Source organism: Homo sapiens, chromosome 13 (assembly GCF_000001405.40).
Source record: "Homo sapiens chromosome 13, GRCh38.p14 Primary Assembly".
NCBI lineage: Eukaryota > Metazoa > Chordata > Mammalia > Primates > Hominidae > Homo > Homo sapiens.
This window is the reverse complement of record NC_000013.11, coordinates 113,992,807-114,014,050: the sequence shown is the minus strand read 5'-3', so window position 1 is coordinate 114,014,050 and position 21,244 is coordinate 113,992,807. Positions and strand designations below refer to the sequence as shown.

Here is a 21,244-nt window from a genome sequence, read left to right as displayed (position 1 = left end):
GAGAGAGAGATAGAGACGGAGAGAGAGAGATGGAGAGAGACAGAGACAGACGGAGAGAGATGGAGAGAGAGATCGAGACGGAGAGAGAGAGAGAGAGACAGAGAGATAGAGACAGGGAGAGAGAGACGGAGAGAGAGAGACAGAGAAAGAGAGAAAAAGAGAGAGACAGAGATAGGGAGAGAGACAGGGAGAGAGACAGAGAGATGGAGAGAGAGACAGACGGAGAGAAAGAGACGGGGAGAGAGAGATGGAGTTAGGGAGAGAGACAGAGAGGGAGAGAGACAGAGAGATGGAGAGAGAGAGAGAGAGCCAGAGACAGACGGACGGAGAGAGAGAGGGGGAGAGAGAGAGAGAGACAGAGATAGGGAGAGAGACAGGGAGAGGGACAAAGAGGGAGAGAGACAAAGAGATGGAGAGAGAGAGAGACAGATGGAGGGGGGGAGAGAGCCAGAGACGGAGAGAGAGAGAGAGAGACAGAGATAGGGAGAGAGACAGAGGGACAAAGAGAGGGAGAGAGACAGAGAGATGAGAGAGAGACAAATAGAGGGAGAGAGAGAGAGACAGAGATACGGAGAGAGACAGGGAGAGAGACAAAGGGGGAGAGACAGAGAGATGGAGAGAGAGAGGGAAACAGAGAGAGGGAGAGAGGGAAACAGAGAGAGGGAGAGAGACAGACACAGGTGGAGATAGAGCCAGGACTGTGGCTGGACTTCCCTGCGGACCCTCAGGGGGCCGGGGCATGGTGTCCCCACGAGGCCATTGTGCCCGAGGAAAACGGTCACCCTGCTTCTCTCTCCCGCAGATGACCCGGACGTCAGGTACACTGCAGTGAGCAGCTTCATCTTCCTGAGGTTCTTTGCGCCCGCCATTCTCTCCCCCAACCTCTTCCAGCTCACGCCGCACCACACGGTGAGTGACCGGCTGAGGGACCGAGGCTTTCTGAGCTGTCCTGCGACGCCGGCCTGGGTTGGGGCATCTGCGTGGCTGTAGGGGGCCGACCGTGTGGAGTGTGGAATGCGTGGGGAGTGTGTGAGGAATCAGGAGTGAGTGGGGAGTGTGTGTGGAATGAGGAGTGAGTGGGGAGTGTGTGTGGAATGGGGAGTGTTTGTGGAATGAGGAGTGTGTGGAGTGCGTGGACTGCGTGGGGAGTGTGGAAGGCATGTGGAATGGGGAGTGTGTGTGGAATGAGGAGTGAGTGGGGAGTGTGTGTGGAATGGGGAGTGTTTGTGGAATGAGGAGTGTGTGGAGTGCGTGGACTGCGTGGGGAGTGTGGAAGGCATGTGGAATGGGGAGTGTGTGTGGAATGAGTGAGTGGGGAGTGTGTGTGGAATGGGGAGTGTGTGTGGAATGAGGAGTGTGTGGAGTGCGTGGACAGTGTGTGGGGAGTGTGGAAGGCGTGTGGAATGGGGAGTGTGTGTGGAATGAGGAGTGAGTGGGGAGTGTGCGTGGAATGAGGAGTGTGTGTGGAATGGGGAGTGTGTGTGGAATGCATGGGGAGTGTGCATGGAATGAGGAGTGTGTGTGGAATGCGTGGGGAGTGTGTGTAATGAGTGAGTGGGGAGTGCGTTTGGAATGGGGAGTGTGTGTGGACGGTGCATGGGGAGTGGGGAGTGTGGAAGACGTGTGGAATGGGGAGTGTGTGTGGAGTGTGTGGACGGTGCACGGGGAGTGTGGAAGGTGTGTGGAATGGGGAGTGCGTGTGGAGTGTGTGTGGAGTGTGTGGACGGTGCGTGGGGAGTGCTGGTGGATGCGCTGGGTCCTGGAACGTCCTCGTTGCAGGTGGTTCACCGACCTATTTAAGCTGTGTACGTTCTGGGGGAGTCGAGACAGTGTCACAAAAGCAGTGGACGGTTTGTCCAGGGTTTTAGCTGCTGGTCACCGCCCTGCTCTCCTCCCCTGCCCATCACATATGGAGTATTGATGATCGGCGTATCATCCGTGTATTGAGTCAACAGATTCCTATTTAGCACTGATTTTCTCCAGGCCCCAATGTGGTTGCTGGGGCCGCAGCTCTCAGGGTACAGGGATCTGGGGTGACCGTGTTGCACGTGCGGGTGGCAGAGCTGGAAGGAGATGGCCAGGGCGAGAGGACGTGAGGGATTGCCCATTCCCCAGCACTTCTTTTTTTTTGAGACAGAGTCTTGCTCTGTCACCAGGCTGGCGTGCAGTGGTACCATCTCAGCTCACTGCAACCTCTGCCTCCTGGGTTCAAGCAATTCTCGTGCGTCAGCCTCCCTAGTAGCTTGGATTACAGACGTGCGCCACCACGCCCAGCTAATTTTGTATTTTTATTAGAGATGGGGTTTTACCATGTTGGCCAGGCTGGTCTCGAACTCCTGACCTCAAGTGATCTACCTGCCTCGGCCTCCCGAAGTGCTGGGATTACAGGCGTGAGCCACCAAGCCCGGCCCCCAGCACTTCTGAGTTGAACCTTCAAACCCTGTGAAGGCTGAGATGAGCCCCAGGCAGGGCCAGGAGACTCAGCACCCCGAGACTCAGCGCCCCAGAGCCATGACCCCACCTGATGCTTTCGACTTTGAGATGCACCCTGCACGCTGGGCCGAGAGAGTGGGTCACCGCGGTGCCGTCGGATGTTGCCTGCGGGATGGTCTCAGCAGCTCCTGAGACTGTGGGACGCCCACCCCCTCCAGTCCCATCTGCGTCGCTACCCCTGTTTCTCCGTAGCTCATGCACAAGCCACAGCAGCTCTGAGGTGACTCCTGCATTTCGTCCCCTCGATCTGGGACAGTCACAGCATTTCTGTGATGCTGACATAGACCTTTCTTGCTCCCGCCTCCCCAGGACCCCCAGACGTCCAGGACGCTGACATTGATCTCCAAGACCGTTCAGACCCTCGGCAGCCTGTCCAAGTCCAAATCTGTGAGTCCCTCTTCTTCATTTTCTCTTTTTAGGGACAACTGATTCTTTTCTCTCTTCAGAAAATACACGTGAAAAACCTCCCACATTTGAGAGAGTCGTAAGATAAAGATCAAGAATCAAAGCCGGCACCACATCCTCTCTTGAAACCCAGGACCTGAGCGTCCCCGTCCCGCTCACCTCTCCCCTCCTAAAGTGAACCCCTTGCCTTTTTCGGGAGCCTGTGGCTCGTCGCCGGCCCCGTGGCAGGAGCAGCATCTGACCTGTCAGGTGTGGGAAGCGGCTGAACAGGCCAGGCAGATGGCCTAACCTGGCGCCTCCTGGGCGTTGCGGTGCTGGAGGCTCCTCGTCACGCAGCCCCCTACTCCCCTCGCGGCCCCCTCCTCCCCACGCGGCCCCCTCCTCCCCACCTCCCCACGCGGCCCCCTCCTCCTCACATGGCCCCCTCCTCCCCATGCTGCACTACCTCCCCATGCAGCCCCCTCCTCCCCACTTCCCTCCCCACGCAGCCGCCTCCTCCCCACGTGGCGCTTCCTCCCCAAGCGGCCGCCTCCTCCCAACGTGGCGCTCCCCTCCCCACGCGGCCCCCTCCTCCCAGGGCCCCTCTCTCCCTGTGGATATGAACCTCCGTCCTCCATCCTCGTCCCTTCAGACTGGATCTGGTGCCACCAGGTCAGGAGTCCCTCAGGCATCTGCCCCATTTCCCCCTAAGAGCACCTTGTGTGTTTGAGGGGGTCAGAGCTGACGTTTGAGGCGTCCCGGGGGCAGTGCTCCTGGTGAGGCCCAAGGCTGTCTCTGCAGGGGCCAGGCCAGGGCAGTTCGATGCCTTCGGGCCCCCTCGGGGCTCCGTCTGGAGAGGGCTGGGCTGTGGTGCACAGATGCCCAGGCCTCCTGGTTCCCTGTTCTTGGTGGGGCCCAGGTAGAAATGAGGGCTTTGGGGAGCAGAGGCCCCCACTGGAGGAGCAGCCCGCTTGGGGCAAACGTTGGGTTTCTCTGAGTCCGAGTGAGTAAAAGATGTGCCACACTCGCAGGCAGGCCGAGGTGCACCGACCGCTCTTTCCCACCAGCCAGGCCCTGCGCTGTGGGCTGGAAACTCCATAACAGGCACTTGAGCCTCCTCCGAGGTCTGCACCAAACCCACCTCATTTCACAGCCAGGGAACTGTGCAGTGACCTCAGTGTGGAAACAACAGGAACTTGGGGTCGAGCCTCAGGAATGGTGGCTGCAAAGGCCCCCCCGAATCCCTGGGTGCCTCCACTTCCCCGTGTGATGGAGGTCCCTGCCCCCTCTTCCCACCTCAGAGCGGCCCTTATGCCCCACGGGCGAGAGATGGGCGTGGGGGCTCTGGGACCCTGGCCTATGACTCCAGGTTCCCAGGCAGCCACATCTGGGCCCCAACGTACCTCTTCATGAGCCTGGGACCCAGGTGTGAGGGACAGCCCGGGGCCAGGACGGAGTCACTGATGCCAAAGGGTGCTTGGAGACCTCACGGGCACTGGCAGGTCTGATGGTCTTCGTTGGCGCCTGAGCGATTTATGTGATTCGTCCTCCGGGCAGCCCTGCGGGCTCTCACTTGCCCGGTAACACCGGGTTCTTTGCCTGTTTATCGTCATTTAGGCTTGGACAGTTCTTGCCTCTAGCTTTTTCAGATTTGGGCCGTGAGCCGAGGTACTTCGGGCTGTCCTCGAGTGATCTCCGTTTCATTTTAGGCGAGTTTTAAGGAGTCCTACATGGCTACATTTTATGAATTCTTCAATGAGCAGAAATATGCTGATGCGGTGAAGAACGTAAGTATCGACTCACCCTCCGACCGCCCGTGTGCCGTGCTCAGGAGACGGAGTTCTCTTTTAAAATTGAGATAGAACCCACATGACACAGACTTGGCCATTAGCGATTTTAAACAATAAAGGCGTTCGGTGCATTCACAGCGCTGTCCAGACAGCCTTGTCCCAAGTCCTGGGACACCTCCTCCCACAGTTGGTAAACTCTTTGGCGTGACTGCCTTTGGGGCCAAAACGGGGCCCTCGCCCATCTTGTTCTGTGTCTGAGCCCCCCGAATGAGGGCGCGTCCCACCTCAGTGTGTGTGGTGGCCGGACTCACTCTAGGCTGCAGTCGTGGAGCCCTGGGGCTGCAGACTCAGTGTCAGGAACGCGGTGCGTGGGGAACATCCAGACCGCAGGGCTCTGCTCCTCCCCACAGTTAGGAACGCGGTGCGTGGGGAACATCCAGACCGCAGGGCTCTGCTCCTCCCCACAGTCAGGAACGCAGTGCGTGGGGAACATCCAGACCACAGGGCTCTGCTCCTCCCCACAGTCAGGAACGCGGTGCGTGGGGAACGTCCAGACCGCAGGGCTCTGCTCCTCCCCACAGTCAGGAACGCGGTGCGTGGGGAACGTCCAGACCGCAGGGCTCTGCTCCTCCCCACAGTCAGGAACGCGGTGCGTGGGGAACGTCCAGACCGCAGGGCTCTGCTCCTCCCCACAGTCAGGAACGCGGTGCGTGGGGAACGTCCAGACCGCAGGGCTCTGCTCCTCCCCACAGTCAGGAACGCGGTGCGTGGGGAACGTCCAGACCGCAGGGCTCTGCTCCTCCCCACAGTCAGGAACGCGGTGCGTGGGGGGAATATCCAGGCCCCAGGGCTCTGCTCCTCCCCACAGTCAGGAACGCGGTGCGTGGGGGCAACCTCCAGGCCCCAGGGCTCTGCTCCTCCCCACAGTCAGGAACGCGGTGCGTGGGGAACGTCCAGACCGCAGGGCTCTGCTCCTCCCCACAGTCAGGAACGCGGTGCGTGGGGAACGTCCAGACCGCAGGGCTCTGCTCCTCCCCACGGTCAGGAACGCGGTGTGTGGGGAACATCCAGACCGCAGGGCTCTGCTCCTCCCCACGGTCAGGAACGCGGTGCGTGGGGGGAATATCCAGGCCCCAGGGCTCTGCTCCTCCCCACAGTCAGGAACGCGGTGCGTGGGGGCAACCTCCAGGCCCCAGGGCTCTGCTCCTCCCCACAGTCAGGAACGCGGTGCGTGGGGGGAATATCCAGGCCCCAGGGCTCTGCTCCTCCCCACAGTCAGGAACGCGGTGCGTGGGGGCAACCTCCAGGCCCCAGGGCTCTGCTCCTCCCCACAGTCAGGAACGCGGTGCGTGGGGGGAATATCCAGGCCCCAGGGCTCTGCTCCTCCCCACAGTCAGGAACGCGGTGCGTGGGGGCAACCTCCAGGCCCCAGGGCTCTGCTCCTCCCCACAGTCAGGGATGCCTGAGCCTCCTCACTACCGGGACCCAGATTCCCTGCTTAGAGTCACCCCTGGGTGGCCTCTGGAGATGCAGGTTGATCCCCAGGTGTTGCCTGAGCCCGGCCTCTCACCTGAGATCTCTGTGGCAGTGCCGGGGCTGGGGTGGCACAGTGGGGAGCAGAGGCCCCACAGCCCTCGGGGAAGGACTCACTTGCCCAGATTCTGTCTCCACTGGTATTACAAAGGAGGCAGTAGCCGCCGACGCTGTTGTTATACAGAGAGCCGTGCACGTCAGATGTGTGGCTTCCTCCCGGTGACCTGATTTCTTCCAACTTTAGTTCTTGGATCTGATTTCGTCCTCGGGGAGAAGAGACCCCAAGAGTGTTGAGCAGCCCATCGTGCTTAAAGAAGGGTAAGGAGGGTAAGGTGGCGTCTGGCAGGGCAGGAGGGGAGAAGGGTAAGGTGGTGTCCAGCAGGGCAGGAGGGGAGAAGGGTAAGGTGGTGTCCGGCAGGGCAGGAGGGGAGAAGGGTAAGGTGGCGTCCAGCAGGGCAGGAGGGGAGAAGGGTAAGGTGGCGTCCGGCAGGGCAGGAGGGGGGAGAAGGGTAAGGTGGCGTCCGGCAGGGCAGGAGGGGAGAAGGGTAAGGTGGTGTCCGGCAGGGCAGGAGGGGGGCGGCAGGGCAGGAGGGGGGAGAAGGGTAAGGTGGCGTCCGGCAGGGCAGGAGGGGAGAAGGGTAAGGTGGCGTCCGGCAGGGCAGGAGGGGAGAAGGGTAAGGTGGTGTCCGGCAGGGCAGGAGTGGGGAGAAGGGTAAGGTGGTGTCCAGCAGGGCAGGAGGGGAGAAGGGTAAGGTGGCATCCGGCAGGGCAGGAGTGGGGAGAAGGGTAAGGTGGTGTCCGGCAGGGCAGGAGTGGGGAGAAGGGTAAGGTGGTGTCCAGCAGGGCAGGAGGGGAGAAGGGTAAGGTGGCATCCGGCAGGGCAGGAGTGGGGAGAAGGGTAAGGTGGCGTCCGGCAGGGCAGGAGGGGAGAAGGGTAAGGTGGTGTCCAGCAGGGCAGGAGGGGAGAAGGGTAAGGTGGCATCCGGCAGGGCAGGAGTGGGGAGAAGGGTAAGGTGGCGTCCGGCAGGGCAGGAGGGGAGAAGGGTAAGGTGGTGTCCAGCAGGGCAGGAGGGGAGAAGGGTAAGGTGGCATCCAGCAGGGCAGGAGTGGGGAGAAGGGTAAGGTGGCGTCCGGCAGGGCAGGAGGGGGGAGAAGGGTAAGGTGGCGTCCGGCAGGGCAGGAGGGGAGAAGGGTAAGGTGGTGTCCAGCAGGGCAGGAGGGGAGAAGGGTAAGGTGGCATCCGGCAGGGCAGGAGTGGGGAGAAGGGTAAGGTGGCGTCCAGCAGGGCAGGAGTGGGGAGAAGGGTAAGGTGGCGTCCGGCAGGGCAGGAGGGGGGAGAAGGGTAAGGTGGCGTCCGGCAGGGCAGGAGGGGAGAAGGGTAAGGTGGTGTCCAGCAGGGCAGGAGGGGAGAAGGGTAAGGTGGCATCCGGCAGGGCAGGAGTGGGGAGAAGGGTAAGGTGGCGTCCGGCAGGGCAGGAGTGGGGAGAAGGGTAAGGTGGCGTCCGGCAGGGCAGGAGGGGGGAGAAGGGTAAGGTGGCGTCCGGCAGGGCAGGAGGGGAGAAGGGTAAGGTGGTGTCCAGCAGGGCAGGAGGGGAGAAGGGTAAGGTGGCATCCGGCAGGGCAGGAGTGGGGAGAAGGGTAAGGTGGCGTCCGGCAGGGCAGGAGGGGAGAAGGGTAAGGTGGTGTCCAGCAGGGCAGGAGGGGAGAAGGGTAAGGTGGCATCCAGCAGGGCAGGAGTGGGGAGAAGGGTAAGGTGGCGTCCGGCAGGGCAGGAGGGGAGAAGGGTAAGGTGGCGTCCGGCAGGGCAGGAGGGGGGAGAAGGGTAAGGTGGCGTCCGGCAGGGCAGGAGGGGAGAAGGGTAAGGTGGCGTCCGGCAGGGCAGGAGGGGAGAAGGGTAAGGTGGCATCCAGCAGGGCAGGAGTGGGGAGAAGGGTAAGGTGGCGTCCGGCAGGGCAGGAGGGGGGAGAAGGGTAAGGTGGTGTCCGGCAGGGCAGGAGGGGAGAAGGGTAAGGTGGCGTCCGGCAGGGCAGGAGGGGAGAAGGGTAAGGTGGTGTCCGGCAGGGCAGGAGGGGGGAGAAGGGTAAGGTGGCATCCGGCAGGGCCGGAGGGGAGAAAGGGATGGGGGCCCCCAGTCCCCAGAGCACCCAGCACATTCCAGAAGATTCCCTAGTCGGGGGCAGCCTCCTCCCTTGCTGGCCAGCAGCCTTGTGATTTCTGTACCACTGGCCGTGTTGTCCACACCCGCACTTGGGGCTGGCCTTCCCTCCAGGCTCCCGAGGGCTCTTTGCTCAGGGAACCAGAGTCAGAGGGGACAGCCCTGGGGGTCTGGCCCCTGCGCCTTCAGCCTGGGACCCCTCTGCCACCTTCTCGGTGACCTTGGAGGGGGACGTCTGTGTCCCACAGCCACCCCGTGTTTCTGACACAGGCCTGTCCTCCCTCAACCTCCACCCAGAGGTCCCTGGAGCATCAGAGCCCATCAACCTTCCTTACATAACTGACACGTCTGCCCGTTTCCACCAACCCCGTCCTGTGGCCCGGCTCCCACTCCCGCTCGGGGCTTTGCTCTGCCTGGTGTGGACCATGTTCCTGTATTTTTTATGTGTTTGCCAACATGTCGGGCACAAGTGCAGTTGTATTGGATGGGGCTTCTCGTGAAACCGTCACCTGAACGGGCACTTTGTGCCCACTGAGTAATTTCTCATTCCTCTCCCGCTCCCACCTCCACCCTTCCGAGGCCTCAGTCTGTGATTCCGAATACGTGTCCCAGAGCGCCCCGCCCCTCCGTGTTTATCTCCTATGGACCAGTGAGAACATGGGGCGTTTGGCTTTTCGTCTCTGAGTCATCTCCCTTAAGATAACAACCTCTAGTTCCGTTCACGTTGCTGGAAAACATAAGATTTCCTTCCTCTTGATGGTGGAGTAGCATGTCGTGGTGTATTTATGCCACGTTTTCTTTATCCAGTCGTCCGTTGGTGGACACGTGGATTCCGTGTCTTTGCTGTTGTGAGTGGTTCAGCGGTAAACGTACGCATGCAGGTGTCTTTTTGGTAATTGCTCTTCCTTTGGGTGGGGCCTGGTGTGGGATTGCTGGATCGAATGGCAGCTCTGCCTTTAGCTTCTTGAGAAATCTCCGTGGGTTTCCTTAAGCGCTAATTTCCATTCCCCACAGCGTGCAAGCGCTCACGTCCTCCACAGCTCTGCAGCGTCTGTCATTTTTCCGTGTTTTATTTGATCCCAGCCATTCTGCCCGGCGTGAGCTGGGTTCAGGCGGCTCCATTCTGCCTGGCGTGAGCTGGGGTCGCAGGTGGCTTCGTTCTGCCTGGCGTGAGGTGGGGTCACAGGCAGCTCTGGCTCTCATTCCTCAGGTGATGAGCCACGCTGGGCTTTATATCGTATGCTTGTTGGCCATTTGTCTTCTGAAAAACGTCTATCCCCCTGTCCTTTGGCCACTTTTAAATTTTTTTTTAATTTTTATTTTTTTTGTTAAGTTGTTTGAGTTCCTTCTAAATTGTGGCTGTTAGTCCCCTGTTGGATCTGTGCTTTGCAAATATCCTCCCATTCTGCAGGTCGTCTGTTTGCTCTGTTGGTTATTTATTTTGCTGTGCAGAAGCTGTTTAGTTTAATTAAGTCCCATTTGTCTATTTTTGTGGATACTCTGTTAGAGCCATCTGCTGAAACCTGGATCATCTCTGGGTCACTGGTGGACCATACCCCAGTGGCATTACTTACATTGCTATTTTTCTTAAAATCACCTTCATTTAACTTAATCATATATTAACCAATAACATTTGCAATACACACATTTCATGTTAGAAATGCAAAATGTTTGTTCTTCGGTGCCATAAGGAAAAATTAGCATTTAGACAAAAAGTTCTTTCAGCGAGGCAATTTTTACTTTCTGCAGAAAGGGTGTCCCTGGCAGAAGGAGTAATGGCAAGGGCACACACAGAATAAAGAGACGCCAGAATATTTATTCCTTACGCACGAGGTTCCTGTTGTCGTGTCCTGTCCCCATTGCCTGGAGCCGGACCTCACAATCTAAATTAAGACCTGATTGGCTAATAATTTAAAACTTTTTTAAATAGGTAGAAAAATAATAATATGTTTAAATAAGGAAGGGGCATAGGCTGTGAGCTGGGACATGCCTATGAGTACGTCTAACACAATTGCCTTGGTTAAGGTACAAGGACACAGAATATATTACGAGCCTGTGGGCACGTCCAACAGCTACACAGGATAGAGCTTAACAAAGAGTTATTAGCACAAAGCAAGGAGGCTTGAAGGAAGTTAGTCTTTAAAAGAAACTATTATTTCTAACACTTATGATTTATTCTTTAACAAGAAGGGAAACTTTGAAGAGGAAACTTTTTACTTTCTACATTTCATAAATTCACAGCTTTCAAAGCAACAGATATTCATCCTGTAATCCCTAAAGCAACACAGGACACTCAGGGCTTGTGTGTCTGACGCCGAGAAGCTGCTGTAGATACAGGTTCAAGGACAGGCGCCTCCCAGGTGCCACCAGCCAGAGGTTCAAGGACAGGCGCCTCCCAGGTGCCCTGGATGCAGCTGAGGCTCCACCAGCTCCTTCCAGCAGCTGCACCACCTGCGACTCACACCAAGGTTTTGGTCCATCAGGCCCTCGAGTTTCCAGCCCCTGGATCAGCTTCTCCTCCGGCACCTCAGCTCTGTCACATCCCCAAACCTAGGGCCACCCTCGGTTGTGCAAGCATGGGCCGTCCTAGGGCCTCGGTTCTGCCATCTCAGCCCTTGGTGCCAAGTGTGTCTTGCCATGTTCGTCCATGTGTGGGGGTGGTGATGACCATGTTTCCTGAGGGCTCACCCTGTGCTGAGATGCTCCCACACCTCTGCCGTCTCTCAGGGCTGTGTGTGTCCTCACCCACTGGGACACAGGACTGGGGACGGGGCCTCTGCAGCGCAGCGTGTGTTTGCTGAGTTGAGTTGGCCGTGGCTGCGCGGGGCCGAGCTGCTTTCAGCCTGAGGCTTCCGGCTTAGCCGTGGCTCCTGCCTCCCCGTCCCACACGCGCGATGGGCCCGGTTAGAAAACCGACTCCTGGAGAGCCAGGCGCCCAGACCAGAGCTGTGCAGTGAGGAGCCACTGGCTTCTCTCCACTCAGTGCTGCCTTAACCTGGAAACTGCACATAAAATTCACATGCAGCCTCATCCACTGAAGGCCCTCAGAAAGTTGGGGTTCTTAAAAAAATCCTAAAGCCGAAAACATTTATAACAAGACTGCTACTCAAATCTAACTGCTACATGGTCCAGAGTCTTCTCAGAGGCGCCCTGTTGCCCTCAAGGAGGCCGGCATGTCGTGGAGCTCCCAGTCCCCCCCCAACCCCCGTCTGTGTAGGCCCCGCCCTGCGCATCCCACTGGGTCCTGCTGGTCCTCAACAGCCTCCTGGGCTGACTTCCTGCCTGTGAATCCCTGGAATGAACGGCGTTCGGCATCCACTGGTTGTGAACTGCGCTGTCCTGGCGGCTCCCAGCGCCCCGCCCTTTTCTCTCTTGAACAGCTCCCAGCAGCTTCCACACCCTCCGGTGTGCGTCCACAGCTCTCTGGCCACATCTGGCTGTGTTGCTGCTCAAAGCCCCTCTTTCCGATTTCTGAGTGCGCTTGTCGAGGTGCGTCTCCCCCGCCCACCTCCCCACTCTGTCTCTCCAGCTTGGCTTCTCGTCCTCAGCTTCCACCTCTGTCCTCCAGTCACTCTGTCTGGCCACTTTCTTCTCCTCCAGCTCGGCCGCCGGTTCTGGTCAGGGACCCCTGCCCGGCAATGAAGGCCGAGCCTCAGAGGGCCCTGGGCTGCCGGGAGGGTGTTCGAGGACCCTGCCCAGGGCAAGGCTTGAGGTCCTCCTCGCTGAGGCCTTGCATCCTCGGTGGCCATCCTGTCTCCTGCTCCCCACGTTTCCTGAGGACGTGGCCCAGTGGCGCCTTCTACCACAGCAGGGCTGGCCCTGAGGGGGCAGGTTTGGTCTGGCAGAGGCGCTGGTGCGTGACTCCCGCACAACACAGGTGTGGGTTTTGTGGGCGTCTGCTGCCTGCCCCGGCCCCAAGCCTGTGGCTGCAGGTCCTCTGAGTATGGGCGTCTGCTGCCCGCTCTGACCCCGAGCCCGCGGCCGCAGGTCCTCCGTGTGTGAGCGTCCGCTGCCTGCCCTGACCCCGAGCCCACGGCCGCAGGTCCTCCGTGTTGTGTGGGCATCCACTGCCCGCCCTGACCCCGAGCCTGTGGCCGTAGGTCCTCTGTGTTGTGTGGGCATCCACTGTCCGCCCTGACCCTGAGCCCGCGGCTGTAGGTCCTCTGTGTGTGAGCGTCCACTGCCTGCCCTGACCCCGAGCCCGCGCCTGTAGGTCCTCCATGTTGCGTGAGTGTCCACTGCCCACCCTGACCCCGAGCCCGCGGCCGTAGGTCCTCTGTGTGTGAGCGTCCACTGCCCGCCCTGACCCCGAGCCCGCGGCCGCGGGTCCTCCATGTTGTGTGGGCGTCCACTGCCCACCCTGATCCCAGGTCCGCGGCCGCAGGTCCTCCGTGTTGTGTGGGCGTCCGCTGCCCTCCCTGACCCTGAGCCCACGGCCGCAGGTCCGCCGTGGGAGCATCGCATTGGCATTTCCAGTGGCAGCACCACTGTTGAAAGTTCAGTGTGGGAGGCAGGAGGGTTGGAGATCTCCTAAAACCTGGTGCCATCACCAACTGGTGACTCAAAGCAGTCAGCGCTCAACTTTTCAAAGGAGAGGCATTGCCTTCCAATTTTAATCTCATCACTCGGAGTAAAATGATAAGATATTGAAAATCCACTGCCTGCCTCAGGTCTCAGAACGCAGAAAGTGGGGGGTGTGGTTTTTCACCTGTGCAGGGAGGCAGCTGAGGCCCGGACCCCGGCCCTGTGTGCTCTTCACACAGGTTCATGATCAAGAGGGCCCAAGGACGGAAGCGCTTTGGGATGAAGAATTTTAAGAAGAGATGGTTTCGCTTGACCAACCATGAATTTACCTACCACAAAAGCAAAGGTAAGGAGCAAGGTCGCTTTCCCTGGCTCTTGCTGGAGCGTGCTGGGCCCTGGGACTGAGTCTGCTTTTTCAGGGGGAGAGCTGAGGGGAGGAAGGATTCAGTGCTGCGGGCAGAGCCCGGGGCCGCGGTGACCCAGAGCCCTCTGCTTCTGGTTCTCCCTTCAAAGATCCCTGAAGGGGTCTTTCAGACCTGCTGCTGGAAAGTGAGGGAAATCTGCTTCCCCAGAGAACCAGTAAACGCAGAGCTGACCACATCAGTAAGGTGCTTTTCTGTCCACGTCCCTTCCTCCTCTGGTCGCCTCGTCATGGCCAGGGTGCCGCTCCGCCGAGGTAGACGGGGCTTCCCACCACCTCCTGCCCCTCGCTGTCAGATCTGCTGGCTCAGATCTAGATTAGGAAATATCTAGCAGTTTCTCCCATGTTCATGTCCCAGAACGGGAACATGTTCTGGGGACAGAGCCTGAGGCCACGGCAGCTGTGAGGATGCGAGCATTGGGCCCAGCCTGGGTGCATGGCAGGGCCAGGTGGGTCCCAGGCTTCCTCAGCCCCCGCACCTGCAGCCTGTCAGTGATTCAGCCATCATCCCCAAGGAGATGAACATGGGGCACCTCCTCCGGCCCAGGGCACCCCAGCAGAGACCCCCAGCTGGCAGAGACCCCCAGCAGAGACACCCCCAACAGAGACCCCCCCCAGCAGAGACCCTCCTGGCAGAGACCACCCCAACAGAGACCGCCCAGCAGAGACCCTCCTGGCAGAGACCCCCCCCCAGCAGAGAACCCCCCAGCAGAGACCCTCTAGCAGAGACCCTCCAGCAGAGACCCCCCGGTAGAGATCCCCTGACAGAGACCCCCCCAGCAGAGACCCCCCCCCAGCAGAGACCCCCCAGCAGAGACCCCCTGGCAGAGACCCCCCCCGGTAGAGACCCCCGGTAGAGACCCCTGGCAGAGACCCCCTGGCAGAGACCCCCCCAGCAGAGACCCCCGGTAGAGACCCCCTGGCAGAGACCCCCTGGCAGAGACCCCCCGGTAGAGACCCCCTGGCAGAGACCCCCCGGTAAAGACCCCCTGGGAGACCCCCCGGCAGAGACCCCTCAGCCCCACCCGGACCCCAGCCGGGACAGCGGGGCCCGCACCCACTGACAGTCCATCTCTGCTGCAGGGGACCAGCCTCTCTACAGCATTCCCATCGAGAACATCCTGGCAGTGGAGAAGCTGGAGGAGGAGTCTTTCAAAATGAAAAACGTGAGTGTGGGGCCCCCAAGCCTCTCTTTCGGGTTGAGGCCTGGCCAGGTTTTCTCTGCTCTCTTCCCGTACCTGGCCCTGGGCTCACCCTTCCCCACCCACTGCACTCCAGGCTTCTCAGAGTCTTCGTGTTACTCGGGTTGTTCACCAGGTGCTGGTGAGTTTGTGTCGGAATCTCGCATCAAAGCAGCCACACTCTCTGTGCCCGGGGTCACCGGGGTGGGGTGGAACCTGCCGGAAGGTGGGGCCTGAGCTGCTTCAGGTGGCGTCCCCCGCAGGGTCCCCAATGTCAAGGGGCCCTCTGTCAAAGACATCCCAGAAGCAGGCTTGGGACCGTCTGGAATTCCTTTTGGAAGCTTTTTTATTTTGATATAATTTTGAATTTATAGAAGTTGCACGAGTAGAACAAGTACTTTCCACACACCCTTGACCCAGACCCGTGTGTGGCCTCGTTCCCCGGTCACGCTTGACCCGGGCCCACGTGTGGCCTCGTTCCCCGGTCACGCTTGACCCGGACCCACATGTCGCCTCGTTCCCCAGTCACACTTGTTCCTTCTCCCTTCACGGTCCCGCCCGTGCTTTTCTGAATGTATCAACACTTCCAAGTGTGTTTCCCACCGTGCAGTCCCCAAAACCACAGCAGCCACCATCGCACGTCGCCGGCGCGACCACATTCGAGTTTGCCGCTGTCCAGTCCCGTTCTTCCGGCTGTGGTTCCTTCCCCTCTGGATCCAGTCTGCGCTGCATTCTGCTGCCCCCTCCGTCTGGCCCACTGGACACTCCCAGCCTTTCTTTGTGTGTGGTGGCCTTGGCATCTTTGAGGCGTGCAGGCCTTCGGTTTTCTGGACATCCCTCCCTGTGGGTTTGTCGGATGTGCCGACGTGGCAGGTTCTGATGATGCATTTCTGGCGGGAATCCCCTAGAGGTGTCCGTGGCGTCACCATTGTGTGGTGGCCTCCCAGAGTCGGCCGCTGGCCACGTTCTCCCTGGTGACTCAGTGCCCCTTCAGCCAGTGACCCCGCCGTCCGTGCCATCCTGAGGCTGACCCCGTACCCTGACACATGCTGGCTGGGACAAGCCTTCTGTGCCCCGACTGCAGCATGAGGGTCATAGAACAGTTGCAGGGAAGGCACAGTCCCTGGGCCTCGTGCCAAAGTTGACGCATGTTCCTTACCATTGGCAGAATTTTACTAGCATGTTATTCACAGGCAGTCCAGACAGATCCTGCAAAAGGCATAAGTTTGGAGAGTAATTTGAAGAGGAGGGCATGGGAAGAGGAGGGCTGGGAAGAGGAGGGCTGGGAAGAGAAGGGTTGGGAAGAGGGGGAGATGGGAAGAGGAGGGTGTGGGCTCAATGCCTGCTGACTGAGGGGGATGGCCGGAACCTGGCCCTGAGACCGTCCCTCGAAGGAAGCAGTGTGGACATGTCCTGGAAGCACCTCCAGCCCTTCACATAGATTCCCAATAATTCCCTAGTTTCAGCCGCCTGTTCCCAGCTGTTCATTCCCACTGACTTCCTCAGAGCCCGATTCCCCTGAGGCCACTGCCAGGCCAGGCTCTCACCAGCTGGGGAGACCTTTCTGAAGGCTGCTCCTGGTGGCAGGGCCGAGCCTGGGATGATGGCCAGGACGCCCTCCATGGGGGATCACAGCCATGCACGGGGGCGTCCAGTCCGAGACCTATACACATGTGCCGGGTGCAAGGCGGGAGGCTCCTGGCCTCTGTAAATAAGACCTCAGCTGTTCACCAGAAACCTGGAGCCCAAATCCTCCCCAGATGAGTGCAGAAGGCCCGTCCCCTAGAGAAGGCCACTGTCCCCCTGACTCCTGACTTAAGGGCAAGTCCCACATGAGAGCCCTCCCAACCTCCAGTCAGTCTCCTACTCAGAAAACCTGTCTTCTGTGTGCAACAGAGCCGGCTCCTTCTGGGAGCTTCTGACCTCCAATCCTAGGATATCTGTCCCCCCTGCCCCAGCACCCCCGTCCCTCTAATCCTAAGGCTTCTGTCACTCCTGCCCCGGGAGACCTGTCCCTCCAATCACAGGACCCCTGTCCCACCTGCCCCAGGACCTTTGTGCCTCCCATTTCTTCTGCCTTTGACACCCTTTGCCCCCACCCCCTGCTTAACTAACTTTGAGTCAACGCCGACTACAGCACCAGGACTGCTCACTTCCAGCTTCTGCTGACACCTGCCCTCGTTTAGTCTTTCTTGGTGGCTGCAGGTTCAGTAGAAACTCTATGCCAGGCTTTGTCTCCGGGACATAGGAGAGTGCTGGTGCTCAGTCATGTTTGTTGAATGAGTAATAAATGGTAAAGGTTGTTGCTGCCCCGAGACGCTTCAAGAGGAAGCAGCCCCCTAACCCCAGCTGGGAGGAGGAGGAAGAATCCTGGGCTGGTCAGTTGGGGAAGGAGCTGAGCAGGCCGGGCCACCTGGGCTGACACAGCACGAGCACCACGTGGATGGGATGCCTGCAGTCAGCTGCAGGAGGGCCTTGTGGGGAGGCCACAGGGCCCCTCTTTTGTCTTGAATGGAGACCTCCAAGGCTCCAGGACATAAAGGGCCTTGGCCAAGCTGTTCCTGGCCACCTGGCCACATCTCCAGCTGCACCAGTTCTCACCTCCATTCCCCACGGCCCCAGCTGTCAGGTTTTAGGGTGGCAGAGAGCTCCATGCACCCCCTGGCCTTGGCCTCTTCTGGGGCTTAGAGCTCCAGGACTTTTGGGCCTGTGCACCCTCAGCGTCCCCTCTTACGACTCCGGCGAGGACGGCCAGGTGCCTGGTGGACTCTTGCACGTGCTCAGCCACGAGACCTCATGTGCGCTGTCCTGAGCCCACCTGTGTCCTCAGATGTTCCAGGTCATCCAGCCAGAGCGTGCGCTGTACATCCAGGCCAACAACTGCGTGGAGGCCAAGGACTGGATCGACATTCTCACCAAAGTGAGCCAGTGCAACCAGAAGCGCCTCACCGTCTACCACCCGTCCGCCTACCTGAGCGGCCACTGGCTGTGCTGTAGGGCGCCATCCGACTCGGCTCCGGGCTGCTCGCCCTGCACTGGGTAGGTCTGTGCCTCGGTGCCCAGCTCGTGCACTGTGCAGGAAATGTGGCCAAGGGGCTGAGTAGGGAGGGACCAGCAGACAGTGCATGCCTGCCTGTAAGCTGCACATAAACAGGGCTGCCCTCGCCTCCTCCCAGGAGCCTCCCACCCGAGGGGTCCTCCCTCGAGGGAGCATCTGGGGCCCAGCCTCTGGAAGGCTCTGCGCAGACTCCAGGGTGCCACAGGCCTTCGAGGGTCTTCCTGAGGCCCTGCCCCGGGGGAGCGGGAGGTCAGGGTGAAGGGGGACTCCCCAGGCCGTGGCCATCCTGCTTCTCTAGGAGGAGGCTGGGAGCAAGCCCCTCCCTGAAAGCTTCGTCTGGCCCAGGACACCCACCTTGATTCCACATGACGCAGCAGCCCGTTGTCTTCCCGGCCCCCCATCAGCCGGGTCCCCATCAGCCGGGCCCCCCATCAGCCGGGCCCCCCATCAGCCGGGCCCCCCCATCAGCCGGGCCCCCCCATCAGCCGGGTCCCCCATCAGCCGGGCCTCCCCATCAGCCGGGCCTCCCCATCAGCCGGGTCCCCCATCAGCCGGGCCCCCCATTAGCCGGGCCCCCCCATTAGCCGGGCCCCCCATCAGCCGGGTCCCCCATCAGCCGGGCCTCCCCATCAGCCGGGCCTCCCCATCAGCCGGGCCCCCCGTCAGCCGGGCCCCCCGTCAGCCGGGCCCCCCGTCAGCCGGACCCCCATCAGCCGGACCCCCCGTCAGCCGGGCCCCCCGTCAGCCGGGCCCCCGTCAGCCGGGCCCCCGTCAGCCGGGCCCCCCATCAGCTGGGTCCTCCGTCAGCCAGCCCCCCATCAGCCGGGCCCCCATCAGCTGGGTCCTCCGTCAGCTGGGCCCCCCGTCAGCTGGGCCCCCTGTCAGGCCCCCCATCAGCAGGGCCCCCCATCAGCCGGGCCTCTGGCAGTTGCACAGAGGCTTGGGTCATATCTGCCGGTCCTAAGGAGGAGGCCTGGGTGCCTGGCGGTCCCCCTGGTTATGCTCCGTGAGATGCACCTCGCTGTTGTTGTGGCCACGTGATGCTTTCGCATAAGGGCCCTGCAGGGGATGAGCTGTGCTCCATGCTGGGCCACCGTTTAATCCTCCCACAGCCTCAGAGGTGGGACCTTAGATCCTGCTTCGTGGACACAGAGGCTGAAGCTCAGGAAGGGGGCCTGGCTGCTGCTCAGGCATGCGTGGCCACCGCCCCAGAATCCCCCAGGAGAGGCCAGCGCTCTCCCATGTCCTCGCATCCCAGGACAGCGGGAAGCATTGCAGCCTGACGAGGAGAGAAAACCTGGCCTGTCCCCACCCGCAGCCGACCGTGCAGGGAACACAGTCCCAGGAGGCTTCCTTCCAGGCCATTTATCTCCATGAGAACACGTCTGCCGAGTTTGCTCACTGCCTTGGCAGATCTGTGGGTCCCAAGAGGCTCCAGCCGCTGAGGCCGGACAGCTCGGGAGCCTCCCCTATCCCGCACACCCACAGCCAGCCTCAGTTCTCCCAGCTCGGGGATGCTTTTTTAGTTTTATGTCTTTGAGATGGGATCTCGTTCTGTCACCCGGGCTGGAGTACAGTGGTGCAATCTCAGCTCACTGCAGCCTCGACCTCCTAGGCTCAAGCCATCCTCCCACCTCAGCCTCCCAGGTACCTGGGACTACAGGTGTGCTCCACCATTCCAGGCTAATTGTTTTAAGGTTTTTTGTAGAAACGGGGTTTCACCACGTTGCCCAGACTGGTCTCAAACTTCTGGGCTCAAGCAGTCCTCCCACTTCACTCTCCCAAGTAGCTGGGATTACAGGCTGATGCCACCAGCCCAGCTCATTAAATTTTGGTTTTTTGTAGAGACGGGGTCTCACTATGTTGCCAGGTCTCACTGTGAGGGTCTCTCCATGTTGCCCAGGGTGGTGTTGCTCAAACTCCTGGGCTCAAGCGATCCTTCTTGCCTCGGCCTCCCAGAGTGCTGGGATTACCCACATGAACTCCCTGACTGGCCAGGGATGTGTTTTAATGTTGGTCACTTCATCTTCTTTCTTCTTTTTTTTATGATAAATGCATTTCATTATTTATTTAGATGTTTAAGCTCTCACTGCAAAGTTTTTACAAGCTGTTGAAGACTGACAAATTATTTCTCACACAGAACTATAACCACCCATCCCCAGACAGCATAAATATATGGTTGAACATGAATAAGTGACACAATTTTATCAATTACCTAATAAAACAAATGACCAAGTATCCAAATACTGAGCTACTCAGCTCAAAAGGCATATACAGTATTGACATCTGATCAGTTCATTAGCAGAAACCCACTTCTTTTTTTACAAGAGAAGTTGGGAAGAAAAGGGAAAAACTGTCATACTTCAAACAAAAATAAGTTGGAAACAATTTCTAATCAGTATGGAAAAAATTACAGACGTTTCAGAAATTTTATGATTTAAGAATTGTTTTAGCTATAATAAGCATTTCTGCCTTTTAAAAAGTATTTACTAAATTAAAGAGCATATTTCACACGTTCTGCACAAGGCAGCATTTTGCTAAAAATAACAGCCCCGCGCGTTCCTATCAGGCCCTCCCTGTTGGTTGCACCTGCGTGCAAATGTGAAATTAACCGTGAGGCCACTTTGTCTGAAGCCATCAAAGACGTGCTTCTGTACAATGTAGATTTTCTTTTCTTTTCTTTTTTTTTTTTTTTTTTTTTTTTTAGGCAGAGTCTCGCTCTGTTGCCCAGGCTGAAGTGCAGTGGTGTGATTTCGGCTCACTGCAACCTCCACCTTCCAGGTTCAAGCGATTCTCCTGCCTCAGCCTCCCAGGCAGCTGGGATTATAGGTGTGCACCACCACACCTGGCTAATTTTTGTATTTTTAATAGAGACAGGGTCTCACCATGTTGGCCAGGATGGTCTTGAACTCCTGACTTCAGATGATCCACCTGCCTCGGCCTCCCAAAAGTGTGGGGACTACAGGTGTGAGCCACCACACCCGGCTATGGAGGTTTTTCATAATAACACAAAGTAAGATTTATAAAAAGACATGAGGCCGGGCTCAGTGGCTCACGCCTGTAATCCTAGCACTTTGGGAGGTCGAGGTGGGTGGATCACCTGAGCTCAGGAGTTCAAGACCAGCCTGGCCAACATGGTGAAACCCCATCTCTACTAAAAATACAAAAATTAGCCAGGCGTGGTGGTGTGTGCCTATAATCCCAGCTACTCAGGAGGCTGAGGCAAGAGAATCGCTTAAACCCAGAAAGCGTAGGTTTCAGTGAGCTGAGATCGTGCCACCGCGCTCCAGCCTGACGTGTGCTGGTGTGAACATAGGAGAAGCAGACATAGAATGAGCAGGGAAACAAGCACACAGCCTCCTTCTGTGTTTGAAATGACTGAAGGAATAAACCACATGAGGTCTGGAGTGTTCATAGTTCCTGGGAATTGAGTTCTGTATGATACTAAAAATGTACAAGTATTACATATTACACTGGGGATTTTAGCACCTAGTCTTCCTAAATTTCTTATGTATTGATAAGATTCTGGAGTAGGAATAGATTTAAACAAGACATAACTCAGTACTGCGTGATTTCAGGAAAGGTCAGTTAGTACAAATGATAAGCACATTTTAAATACTAAACAGCAAGGATCTTTTGCCACGTGTCCAAATAGGCCAATGGTAACTGAAGCAGAGGTTGCTAGTTAGTTCCGGTTTGCAGCCT

The 21,244-nt window shown here is 58.7% G+C and overlaps 1 protein-coding gene across 15 annotated transcripts in view; it reads left to right on the top strand.

The window, feature by feature from the left end:
* The window catches only part of RASA3 (RAS p21 protein activator 3), a 154,841-nt gene that overhangs the window by 118,573 nt on the left and 15,024 nt on the right, over positions 1–21,244 (top strand). For 14 of the 15 annotated variants that reach the window (XM_047430157.1, NM_007368.4, NM_001320821.2 and 11 more), the window contains 7 exons: positions 803–909; positions 2,803–2,880; positions 4,587–4,664; positions 6,445–6,518; positions 13,119–13,225; positions 14,384–14,466; positions 17,312–17,520. In XM_047430157.1, the coding sequence (XP_047286113.1) occupies positions 803–909; positions 2,803–2,880; positions 4,587–4,664; positions 6,445–6,518; positions 13,119–13,225; positions 14,384–14,466; positions 17,312–17,520 (736 nt within the window). Of the gene's footprint in view, positions 1–802; positions 910–2,802; positions 2,881–2,939; positions 3,397–4,586; positions 4,665–6,444; positions 6,519–13,118; positions 13,226–14,383; positions 14,467–17,311; positions 17,521–21,244 lie in introns of those variants that run through there. The other variant, XM_047430159.1, reaches the window with a different exon arrangement.